The following is a 13,106-nucleotide window of genomic DNA, read 5'->3' on the forward strand; positions in this document are numbered from 1 at the left end:
TCATAAGCCGGGGGGGCAGACCCTTCTGTCTAAACACATCTTTTATTTGTGTTCCAGCAGGTGCAACAGGTTCAGGTGTTTGCTGACGTCCAGTGTACAGTGAATCTGGTAGGCGGGGACCCTTACCTGAACCAGCCTGGTCCACTGGGAACTCAAAAGCCCACGTCAGGACCACAGACCCCCCAGGCCCAGCAGAAGAGCCTCCTTCAGCAGCTACTGACTGAATAACCACTTTTAAAGGAATGTGAAATTTAAATAATAGACATACAGAGATATACAAATATATTATATATTTTTCTGAGATTTTTGATATCTCAATCTGCAGCCATTCTTCAGGTCGTAGCATTTGGAGCAAAAAAAAAAAAAAAAAAAAAAAAAGGAGTTTGCTTTTGTCGGGAGATTGAAAGATGTTTTTGTTTCTTTCTTTGTAAAGGCCTTGGATATTGAAAAAATACCAAGGCAGAACAGTTGGACAATCTATTTCTTGAGCCAAATTTAATTATTCTTATTTTTGTAATCAGTCATTGGCTTCTTATCTGGATGAAGGCTTTTGGAGGAGAACCAAAACGACAAGTTCCAAGAAGAAGATGAAGCTCCGCCTCCGCCGCTTAGTCCCAACCCTGCCCAGGAAGAAGGGCCCGTGGGGCTTTGCCTGTGCCCGTCCACCAAAGGCTGTCATGTGTCTCGAAATCAGCAGCCCTCCCCATCCCAATCCCAGGCAGCTTGTGTGTACAATCAGCTTCTCTAGCAACTCTGTATCTGTTGGCTTCAAGAGAATATTTTGCCTCCACATATGTACCCCTTCTCCTTTTTTTAAAGATGGATTTAAACCAAGATGCCTCCAGGAAAGAGGACGAAATGAGTATATTCACAGAGGAATCCAAAAAATACAGTTTGGGGGAAAATGCAATAATTTTTGATGAGATGGGTGAAGGACAAGAAGTGAGTTGTGTCAATTATTGTAGATACAATTTTCTGATTAAATCTGGAAAAATAAAAGGCAGCCTGTTTTTTCTGCTTTTATTGTATTAACAGCTGAGGTAGCTAAAGTTATTTAAAATAAAATTAAATTTATGATCCAAGTAGCTTATTTTTCCCTTTAAATCTCATTGTAAATATATTTGATTTCTTGTAGAAATTGATTTCCTTCTGTTTAATTTTATGCTTTTATTATACTCTTGATTTTTCTAAATTTGTGTGTGAAATATAACATTGATTGAATTGCAGTTACATTTGGTTAGTAATATTTCATTATTTTAATAACTGTGATGTCATGTATGGATTTACTTTGGGGTTCAAATCAAAATGTCACTGCCAGAAAGAGCTGTTCCAGCTGATCTAGAGCATACTGCCCTAGAGTGTCCCTGGGATCATCTGAACAGAAGTGCACAGGCTACTTGTACAGAGAAAAAATTAATACTCAAAGGAAATCTTCATTTTTTAGATTGACTTTGGGAATTTGAATTTTCATCAGTGCAAATATAAATTTCTCTATCCTGCTCTGAGGCTAATTGGTACCATATTTTCCCTTTGTGTCTTGTGACTCTGCCACATCCCATCTCATCCTGGCCTCTGAGTCAAGAACCCAGTGAACTGACTTTCTAGTTCTAGAAGTTCCGCTGCAAGGCCAGGAAAGCTTGAGAAAGGTATTGTGGAAGAAGCAAAGGTAGACCCCCATCACTCACCTTTGTCTGCATCCCTGGGCCTGTGAATGATGACAGCACCTGACATTCTGCACCAGCTACCTCTGCCTCCATGGCAGAGAAAAGGCCATAAGAACAGTGGAAGAGGAGCATGGACTCAGACTTCAAGGAAGAAGCCATTTCCCCAGGTCCTTCCTTCTGCATCTCACCACCCCTAGTTACAAATAACTCCATTGAACAGCATCTATTCAGAAACTATGCCGAATAAAAAGATTGGTGGAAGGGCTCATGTGGTTAGCAACTATGAAACAGAAATAGGACACTCAGTTACAAACATTATCTCCTTTAGTTTTTCAGAAAATGCATCCCTGATTTCATTCATTTCCAGCTTGAAAGCCAGCCATATTACTCTAGTCCCTACCAAACTGCTCTAGAAGGTCATTTCCATTTTGTTTGTGATATTTAGACGCGCAGACTTCAGGAAGTTCACCTTTAACTTCAGCATTCCAGATGAAGTTTCCTGACTCAGTGCTTTTGCATAAGGAACTAGAAAAAAAAAGTAAGGAAAATTGGAGATGCTAACATCCTCCCCCATCCCAACTGCACCTTAAAATATGCATGTCACCTTCAAGGTTTTATAATTGCACTGTTTGTTTTATGTATGTACAGATTAAAATTATTGCTACATTTGAGGAAAATAAAATTGCTTGCTTCTATGTAATTCCTGTCATTCCACAGGAAATTCACTTTTCCAGCTACTGAATAGAATTTGTTTAACAACCTCATGGGTTGCCTCTTCATTTACAGGGAAGAAATGAAATGTACATCTGCAGAAATTGCCAAAGCCCAAATTAACGAGTATTATAAAAGGATAATAAAGCATCCCTGAAGCCAAAGATCCTCAAAGTCATCCTGATTTGAGCCAGACCATTGAAATTTGAGAAGGTCAAACTGAAGTCATGATAGCAGGCCTTGAGGGGTTCTAACTGTGACATTATCTGATGATTAAAGACTTCTAGGCCTGCTGTTTCTTGACTCAGAAGATCTGGTCCAGGCAGTACTTCATGGCCATAGATGCCATGTCTCTCTCTATTTTTTTTAAAATATATCAACATTTATCAATAATAGGTATTGAGTCTTACTTGAGAAGCCTCCTTCAATGTGACAATGCATTTTATAGGAATTAGGCCCTGTTGTTTGTTTTTAAATCCTAAATCCACCAACTTGGCTAAGTAGGGCTAGGGTGTAAGAGTTACAGAGGAAACAAACATGAAATGCGGCTCAACAGTTAAAGACAGATTTATTTTAGAGAAAATAAACCTGAGAGGGGCTTCTGGCTGATTTCCATCAGGAGTGCTTTCTCTTACAGAGTAAGAGTATACGTTGGTTTTAGGGTGAGGGGGCTTATCACAAGCTTGGAATGTTTTTGTGTGAGGGAGAAGTTTTATGGCAGGGTCGGAATGTCTGGGCAAAGGGGAGGTTATCTTGGGGCTGATGTCTTTCTGGCCAGAGGGGGGTTATCTCGGGGTTAGCATGTCTTTGGCTGGGGAGGAGTTTGGAGTGTTGCTGGTTGGAGATGTTATTTGTGGTTTATGGTTGTGCTGACCTTAGTCATTAGGCTGATGCCCTTTGGATTTAGGCGGTTTTTGATTAAGGTGAATTTTAGAATGAGGGGCTTGTCCAAGATGGCGATGCTCCTGCTCTGTCATAAGGTAAATGTGATTCCAGAGGGCTCAAGGAGGGTGTACTTCCCACACACATTCCTAGACCTAAATGTACACAGATTTGGTAACTGTTTTCTGAAGTCATATTTATGGGGGGACAAAACCTTTTTTTTCCATAGTTGGGATAAGATAAAAATGAAACTTCCCTTAGATGAGGCTGAACATTGATTTAAAGTTACCCTGAGGTGTAGGGGTGAGGAAAACAAAAACAATTGAGGACAAAGTGTGATTGTTATAAGGAAGTTTCACCTTTGTGGTTTCACCTAAGGTAGGTTCCATTCCTAAAGAAGACCTCAGAAATGGTCTCCTAGGCCCTGACAAAGAAAAAGCAAGGACAGTTGTCTGCTTACAAAGGCAGTTGTACTGATTTCCTGGTTGACAGTAACTGCTCTTCCCAGAAGGGCACCTCCACTTGAATAAAGTGAGTAATTCAGAGCAAGCTTGAGCCTTGACCATTCCTGTGCCCCTGAAGATCTTGATGATTTAATTAAGCCCATAAATTATTTTTATTGGAGAAAACTGCCAAAGGAAGCGTGCCTCTGTCCAGAACCCTTTCTGCCAGCACTAAATTAGTTTTCTTTCTATATTTTCATTGCCCCCAGAATTCTTAACAAGATTGAAGGAACACAAAGTTCTGGCCTTACTCACTCATTCAACACATTGTATTGTCTTTATCTGAGGAACTGGGGATATGAAAGGATCCCGACAGGCATGCGCCCTGCCCTAGTGGAGCTTATATTCACATCAGGGGGCTTAGATCAAGATAACCACAACTGGATTAATTCCAACTGTGGAATTCACACAGGAGAATTCCAAGTAGGAATTTGTAAGCAGGGCCTCATCTGGAGGCGAAGGCAGTTTCCCTTGAGGAAGCAATGGCATTCAAAGTGAGGTTTGCAGGTGATGAGGAGGTAGCTCAGTGGAGAGCCAGTGAACAGAGTTGTGAGAGGCAGCACATGGGAAGGCCTGGAGACAGGGAGGAGCCCCAGAGAGCTGCTTGTTTTAAGTTGTTAACTAGCACTCTCCTGAGCTGGCATCTACATTAGAGTTACGTCAGCCCATGGCTCCAGGAGGAACAGCACTAGGCATTGGGATCCTCACTTGAAAATTGTTTCAGCTCATACCTAAAGTCTCTTCCACAACTAGCCCTGTCCTGCCAGAAATACAGGCTTCTGTATCTTCTACACAGTAGTCTGTAGCTGGTGACAGTATTAAAAGTACTCGGAGACAATAAGTTTGTAACAATTTCTAAAATACTTTTCTGGACATTATCTCATTTAATCCTCTGCTGTCCTTGTAGAGAGTTGTTAGAAAATAAGCTCTGGGCTGGGTGCAGTGGCTCACGCCTGTAATCCCAGTACTTTGGGAAGCTGAGGTGGGTGGATCACCTGAGGTCAGGAGTTCAGGACCAGCCTGGCCAACATGATGAAACCCTGTCTCTACTAAAAATACAAAAAAATTAGCTGGGCATGGTAGCGTGCGCCTGAGTAGGTAGCTACTCAGGAGGCTGAAGCAGAAGAATTGCTTGAACCCAGGAGGTGGAGGTTGCAGTGAGCCAAGATCACACCATTGCACTCCAGCCTAGGCAACAAGAGCGAAACTCCATCTCAAAAAAAAAAAAAAAAAAAAAAGGCCAGGTGCAGTGGCTCACACCTGTAATCCCAGCACTTTGGGAGGCCAAGGCAGGCAGATCATGAGGTCAAGAGATGGAGACCATTGTGGCCAACATGGTGAAACCCAGTCTCTACTAAAAATACAAAAATTAGCTGGGCGTGGTGGCGCACACCTGTAATCCAAGCCATTTGGGAGGCTGAGGCAGGAGAATCGTTTGAATCCAGGAGGCGGAGGTTGCAGTGAGCCGAGATTGCACCACTGAACTCCAGCCTGGCAACAGAGCGAGACTCCGTCTCAAAAAAAAAAAAAAAAGAAAACAAGTTCTAAAGGGTTATGATACAAACACTACCATTTATCAGTGGAAATTGGGAGTTGAAACCAAGTCTAATTCCAAATTCTGGATTCACTATCCTGGACAATATGATTTAGTATGGATTCTGAGTCTGTAGACTTTAATCTCTTTTTGATCTTAGGCAGTGCTTTCATATGTGAAATAACTAAAACAGCTTTGAAAAGACAGGCAAGAACTCTGGGGTTGAGAAGAGAGGACCCGGCCCCTTCTCTGGAGGTGGTCAGAGCCTGCCCTTTGGAGGCCTCAACTAAATAGGGGTTATCTTTGGCATGTGGTCAGCAGGGTGTCCCACTACCGTTTGGGAGAAGCATTCTGTGCCTGCATATCTAAACAAGGAATGAAGAAGGAGTCTATGAAACTACAGGGTCATCCCCTTAGCTTAAAAGAATTTTGGAAAATGTGAGTTCCTTCTGGGGCAGGTATAAGAATGACTGACAGAGGATCCTTTTTGTGAGGCAGAGGAATTTTAGGACCCTACAGTTCACCCTAGGATAGTAGGTTTATTGGATCAGACCTTGGAAAAACTTGCCTTTCCCTGACTCTTGATCCTACTGCAGACAAAGAATCGTTCTCTTATGCTGTGGAGTTTGGCCCTGGTCTAATTGTTTATGCTTGTCTCTGAACTGGTAGTTTGTACAACCAGCAGAAGCAAGCAGTGCCCACAGGTGTCCATAACAAACTTGAGACATTGGCTTGAGAAAAGAAGAATTACGTTGAAAGGAATAACTTCTGTTCCATCAGATTTTCCTCCCATTCCAGTGCCAAGGAGCCCTCAGGTAAAGCAAAACCCCGAGACTACGGTATGGTATTTACTCCTTTTTTCTTTTTAGAGTCAGGATTTCTCCCAGGCTGGAGTACAATGGCATGAGAATCGCTCACTGCAGCCTCAAACTCCTGGGCCTAAACCATCTTCCTGCCTCAGCCTCCCAAGTAGCTGGGACTACAAGTGCATCACTCAGCTAATTTTTTTGGGGGGAGGGTAGAGGCAGGGTCTCGCTATATTGCCCAGGCTGGTCTTGAACTCCTGGCCTCAAGTGATCCTCCTGCCTTGACCTCCCAAGTGCTGGGATTACAGACGTGAGTCACCGAGCCCAGCCTTTATTCCATTTTTGATGAGCTGTTGCTGTACTGACACAGTACAGCAGTGTGGGAAGTACAGAGACACTGCTGTGAAGCTGCTTCTTTCCTAACTGGAGATTCTACATCAGTTAACAGATTTTTTATTTTTACTCTGCCAGGCAATGTACTAGTCTAGTAACCCACTTTTGTGTGAATAATTTCTTACATTTGTATAGCACTTTCACATATTTGATCTGCAAAATCCTATAAAGCAATTACAGTAGGCCGTTTTACAGATGGTGAAACTGAAGCTCAGATTTATAGTCAAGTGACTAACAAGCGCTCGGCCCAAGAGTCAATCCTTGGGCTTTGGAATGAAACCTGCCAGTGGTTCCACTGCACAATACAAGTACTAGAGATAAAAGCACCTGCCTGGGCACAGTGGCTCACGCCTATAATCTCAACACTTTGGGAGGCCAAGGCGGGCGGATCACCTGAGGTCAGGAGTCCGAGACCAGCCTGGCCAACATGGCAAAACCCCATCTACTAAAAATATAAAAATTGAGCCACACGTGGTGGCACATGCATGTTAATCCCAGCTACTCAGGTGACTGGGGCAGAAGAATTGCTTGAACCCAGGAGGCAGAGGTTGCAGTGAGCTGAGATCACACCGCTGCACTCCAGCCTGGGTGACAGAGCAAGACTCCGTCTCAAAAAAAAAAAAAAAAAAAAGACGATGACATAATGACTGTGGGAATTCTGATGAGTTAAAAATTATTCTCTGGAACTCCAAATTCCTTACAAGCTCATAGGGGTTTCCATTTTGAAAACAAATCTAGGTCAGGCACAGTGGTTCACACCTGTAATCCTAGCACTTTGGGAGGACAAGGCGGGGGGATTGCTTGAGGTAAGGAGTTTGAGACCAACCTGGCCAACAGAGCTCTAATTTTGAGTTTGTCAAAGTATAACATGTTTTTAATGTATATGAGGATAATGTTTTTCAGGCAGGGCCCTGTACTCTCACTGAACAGCTCTTCCCTTGAACTCAGTACCACTCACACATGTATACATCTTAAGTCCACTCTTCAACATCTCTCTCATAATCCAGTTTTAAATTTTCAACTGGTGAGCATTACCACATGGATCCCACCCTCCCACCTCCAGCACCTCAAACTTAAGTCCCAAACCAAATAACTTATTCCCCACAAATATGTTCTTATATCTCCATCCGAATTAATTGCATCATTATCCTGCTAGTGGTCATTTTCAACAACTTTTTCCCACTCATTTCACTAAATTGCAAGAAGTCCCACTTTGTAGTGCCTCATAGCCATCTCCTCCTTTCTAGCCCTATTACTCACTGACCGAATTCCAGACTTAATTATCCTTTTTCAGACGATTACAGTAACCACCTTCATGCCTTTTACACGCATCCTTCACACAATCATCAGAGAAATCTTTATAAACACAACCTTCAGAATCTTAGTGTCTGCTTCTTGCCTAGAGTTGATCTGAAATCCAGTGACCTTTTGAGCTTCATTGCCCTCTACACTCTCTCTAAACAAAAAGGTCCTGCCACAAAAATGATCCGGTCTTTATTCTTGAATTTACCATGTTCTCGCTTTCATTGCCATCCCCAGTCTCTTCCCCTTAGCCTGTATGCTCTTCCCTTCTACTCATCCTTCAAGACTTCAGTTGAGGCCGGGCACGGTGGCTCATGCCTGTAATCCCCGCACTTTGGGAGACCGAGGCGGGTGGATCACGAGGTCAGGAGATTGAGGCCATCCTGGCTAACACGGTGGAACTCCGTCTCTATTAAAAAAAAAACAAAAAAATTAGCCGGGCGTGGTGGTGGGCGCCTGTAGTCCCAGCTGCTTCGGAGGCTGAGGCAGGAGAATGGCTTGAACCCGGGAGGTGGAGCTTGCAGTGAGCCGAGATCGCGCCACTGCACTCCAGCCTGAGCGACAGAGCAAGATTCCATCTCAAAAAAAAAAAAAAAAAAAAAAAAAGACTTCAGTTGAGATGCCCTTGCCATGAAGCCCCCACTGTCCCCACATTCTGATTAACCCTTCCTTTGCTCTGCCTTGCTGCAGTGTTTGGGTCTCCATTGGCATGCAGTTATATGTACATCTGTTTCTTTTCTTCACTAAATTGTAAGCCTCTTAAAGAAGAGATACACACACTCCTACCACCCCTAGCCTCCCGCCGAACCTTCTACATAGTAGGATCTTAAATGCTGGTTGAAGAAATAGACTCAAAGGCAATATTTCAAATAAGGGAAAATTGCTGTGGGTAGACTGGCACTGAGTTGTCTCCCTAGAGTCTGGATTGTTGAGCTGATAGAAGGTTGCAGACTTGTCTAAAAGGTCAAGACAGGATTTTGATTTCATCTTGATGACTATGAAACGGCATCACCATCTAGGGTAAATAAATACCCAAGATTCGTTGTCTCATGGCCACGGAAAACTAGGATGCAGACACACCAAGAGTGAGGTTCAGAGCAGAACCTTAATAGTTGGAAGAAAGAGAAAAACTCTCTCTGCTGCAAAGAGAGGGGTCCCGGAGAAAATGGGAAATGGTTTGCCACTTCTGCAGTGAAATGCATAAGGTTTTATAGATGAGCTTGAGGAAGAGGTGTCTGATTTACATAGGGTGTACAAGATTGGTTGGACCAGCTGTGCCATTTACATAGCACACAAAAAGCTGGTGAGAACTGTAGGTGTACCATTTGCATAGCATGCAAAGAAGGTGGTTGTCCCACACTAATCTTTTATTATGCAGACGGGTTCTCTAACTGGCCTGCGCCATGTTACCTGGTTCTTTACACATGGTGACAAAGGGAAGCTGGAGCCTCCATGTTGAGCATGCCTGGCCCTCAGGTGGCCCTTTTTTTTTTTTTTTTTTTTTTTTTTGAGATGGAGTCTCACTCTGTGGCCCAGGCTGGAGTGCAGTGGCGCAATCTCGGCTCACTGCAAACTCCGCCTCCCGGGTTCATGTCATTCTCCTGCCTCAGCCTCCCAAGTAGCTGGGACTACAGGCGCCTGCCACCACGCCCGGCTAATTTTTTGTATTTTTAGTAGAGATGGGGTTTCACCGTGTTAGCCAGGATGGTCTCGACCTCCTGACCTCGTGATCCGCCCACCCTGGCCTCCCAGAGTGCTGGGATTACCAGCATGAGCCACCGCTGCGCCCAGCCCAGGTAGCCCTTTTCTATTGGCACAACTGGCAGCATTCACCCATGCAAGCTTCCAGCTTGCTTATCTATGACTGCAGTTTGATTTTTCAGGCTGTTCTTTGTTAGAAAAGAAATGATTGTGGGGGGGGCTGCTTTTTGTTAAAAGGGAAAATCCGTCAAGGACTCTGTTGCCCTCACTATCTACCTAAATAATTTCTTTCTAGCTCCTGTATCAACTGTTTTTTGTTTGTTTGTTTGTTTGTTTTCATAAAAGGTGAGTGAATACAAGTCCCTTTCACTAGGAGTTTCGAAATTCTCACACTCTAGGAGCCTCTACATCGTTGGAGAATTTACAGAACATTAGCAGTTATCTGCAATACTTCATCAAGCTCTCAGCTTTATAGATGATATATGCTTGGGTTAAACCCTTTCCACTTCTCCGAAATTACCCTCTCACTGAAAATCAGCTGATTGAGTTGACTACCATCTTAACTGAGAAAGTAGGAAAGGCAGATCGGTGAGACAATCACTTCCAGTCTTCCCTACAAAAATGAATATATAGTATAAACCAAAAAGTGTCTGAGACAGATCTCAACTGATTTAGAGGTTTACTTTGCCACAGTTGAGGTTGTGCATGGGAAAAAGAAATACAAGTTACAATAGGATCTGTGGCCTGTACTGTTTTCAAAGATGGTTTTGAGGACTTCAGTATTTAAAGGGCAAAGAGTGGACAGAAGGGGTAGGAGGAAAGAGAAAGGGGGAGGTTAGGTGGTAAGGCAAATCGTTACATTCTTGTGAGGCTTTGATTAGCACTCACTGAATTCACATTTTACGTTTGAAAAGACAGGAGTAGGGGAAAGTCAATTATGCATTTTTCCTGCACTCAATAAATCTTTATTTTTTTCTTTTCTTTTCTTTTCTTTTCTTTTTTTTTTTTTTGAGACAGGATCTCCCTCTGTCACCCAGGCTAGAGTGCAGTGGCATGATCTCAGCTCACTGCAACCTCCACCTCCTGAGTTCAAGCAATTCTTGGGCCTCAGCCTCTTGAGTAGCTGGGATTACAGGCATGTGCCATCACACCTGGCTAATTTTTTGTATTTTTAGTAGAGACGAGGTTTTGCTGTGTTGGCCAGGCTTGTCTCAAACTTCTGGCCTCAAGTGATCTGCTTGCCTTGGGATTACAGGCGTGAGCCACTGTGCCCAGCCATTCCTTTTACACATAAGGTAAGGTCAGCATGTGAAATCACAGCTATCTGTTTAAGAATAAAAGGAAGGAAGTTTTTGTGTGCTTCAGTTCACAAGTTTAACTTTCCCTTTAGCACAGTGAGTTTGGGGGTCCCCAAATTTTTCTTTTCTTTTCGTATGTCCTATTCACTCTTTTACCTACAATAAAATGCTGCTGAGAAGCAATTCATGTTGAAATTAAACAAGAATAAGATGGCTCCTTGTGAAATTTCTATCAGTTTGGCCTTTAAAACCAATGCCTCTAAAAGCTGAGTGACTTAACTCAGAAAGTGAACAGAAGGGACACATCAACAAACAGGCTGACCTTCCTCTAACAGGAACAAAGGTCTTGCCTGGAGTTTCCTTCCTCATTCCTGAAGAAGCATTCCAGCCCTGCTCAGTTCTGCTGCTTTTTCAAGTCCAAAGTAATTTATCACATACCTGCCTATACTTAACTTTAGGCTACATATTTCCTGATCATCTTCCTTTTTGCCTTGCAAACTTCTATTTTTAAAAAAGCATAAATTGGCCGGGCACGGTAGCTCATGCCTGTAATCCCAGCACTTTGAGAGGCCGAGGCAGGTGGATCACCTGAGCTCAGGAGTTCGAGACCACCCAGGGCAACATGGTGAAACCCTGTTTCTACTAAAAATACAAAAAAATTAACCGGGTGTGGTGGTGCACACCTGTAGTCCCAGCTACTTGGGAGGCTGAGGCAGGAGAATCACTTGACCCCCTGAGGCAAAGGTTGCGATGAGCTGAGATCGCGCCATTGCACTCCAGCTTGGGCCACAGAGTGAGACAGTGAGACTCCATCTCAAAAAAAATTTTAAAAAAAAAGCATAAATTTTAAAAATTAGCTTTCCATTTTAACATTCTTCTAATGTTAGCAATTATACTTTAAATAATAATTACTTAGCAAGCTAGACTTTAAGCAAAACCATCTGGGGAAAAGCTCCCTATAGAGCACACCCTATTTAAAGACTCGCATGACTCTGAGCTTAGGCTTTAAATTTTCATCCTACCTTCAGTTGAAAGCTTCTAAATAGCTTTTTATTAAGGAAATTTCTAAGTGTCTGTGAAAGTAGAAAGAATAGTATAATGAACCAGTTCTAGGTTTTTAATCAGTCTTTTGGTATGTGATTTTTATAACCCCAAGTAAAGAGATGACTTCAGTCACTTTATTCATTACCAGCTCAAAAGTAAGTTGTGGCTAGTCATCCTGGGAATCTTTAGACCTGAGGATTTGTCTTTAAAATTGCACATTAGTGGCCGGGCGCAGTGCTCATGCCTGTAATGTAGCACTTTGGGAGGCCAAGGCGGGCGGATCACGAGGCCAGGAGATCGAGACCAGCCTGGGCAACATGGTGAAACCCCGTCTCTATTAAAAATACAAAAATTAGCCAGGCGTGGTGGCAGGCGCCTGTAGTCCCAGCTACTTGGGAGGCTGAGGCAGGAGAATCGCTTGAACCTGGGAGGCAGAGGTTGCAGTGAGCTGAGATCATGCCACTGCACTCTAGCCTGGGCAACAGAGTGAGACTCTGTCTCAAAAAAAAATGCATATTAGCTATTTTAAATAATGATTATATCACAAGTAATTTAATAGTAGTGACAAAATATATATATTTTCAACCAGCAGATATTAACTGAATACCTACTATTTACCAGGTACTATTTCAGGCACTGGGGCTACCTCAATGAAGAAAATACAAATCCCTGCCCTCATGGAGCTTGCATTCTAATGAAGGTTGGCTGACAAACCAATAAGCAAAATATATGGTGTGTCAGATGACAAGGGCTGTGGAGAAAAATTAAGTAGGGAAGGGGGGATAGGAAGCAGTGGAGTGGAGTGATCACAGTTTAAAACAGGAAAGTCAGAACATGCCTTCAGAGAAGGTAACATTTGAGTGACAACCAGAAGGATGTGAGATAGTGAGCCATGGCAATATGGAGAAAGACCTTCCTAAGCAGAGGTGCAAAGGCCTTGAGGCTGGAGCAGAGTGACCGAGGAGAACTGTAGGAGTTAGGTCAAAGAGGCAATGAGGGACAGGAGGGTGTGGGGCCTTGTAGACCAAATCAGTTCTTTGGCTTTTACTGAGACGGCAAGGTGCTACCGGATTTTAAGCAGGAAAAGTGGCGTGCTCTTGCCTGGGTTTTAGCAGGGCTACTCTGGGCTTTGTGTGAAGAGTTGTTATGGAGAAGGCAGATGCAGAAGCTAGGAAACTTGTTAGGAGGCTATGGCAGTCATCCAGGCAAGAGATGATGATTTGGACCGGGAGGGTAGCAGTCGAAATCGGGAGAGGTGGTCAGATTCT

The 13,106-nt window shown here is 43.2% G+C and overlaps 1 protein-coding gene across 15 annotated transcripts in view; it reads left to right on the forward strand.

The window, feature by feature from the left end:
* The window catches only part of NCOA1 (nuclear receptor coactivator 1), a 279,449-nt gene extending 276,910 nt beyond the window's left edge, over positions 1-2,539 (forward strand). For 12 of the 15 annotated variants that reach the window (XM_047446155.1, NM_001362950.1, NM_003743.5 and 9 more), the window contains one exon: positions 58-2,539. In XM_047446155.1, the coding sequence (XP_047302111.1) occupies positions 58-228 (171 nt within the window). In that variant the 3' untranslated portion in view covers positions 229-2,539. The remainder of the gene's footprint in view (positions 1-57) is intronic. The other 3 variants (XM_047446157.1, NM_001362954.1, NM_147233.2) reach the window with 1 other exon arrangement.

This window comes from Homo sapiens, chromosome 2, assembly GCF_000001405.40.
Source record: "Homo sapiens chromosome 2, GRCh38.p14 Primary Assembly".
Classification (NCBI taxonomy): Eukaryota; Metazoa; Chordata; class Mammalia; order Primates; family Hominidae; genus Homo; species Homo sapiens.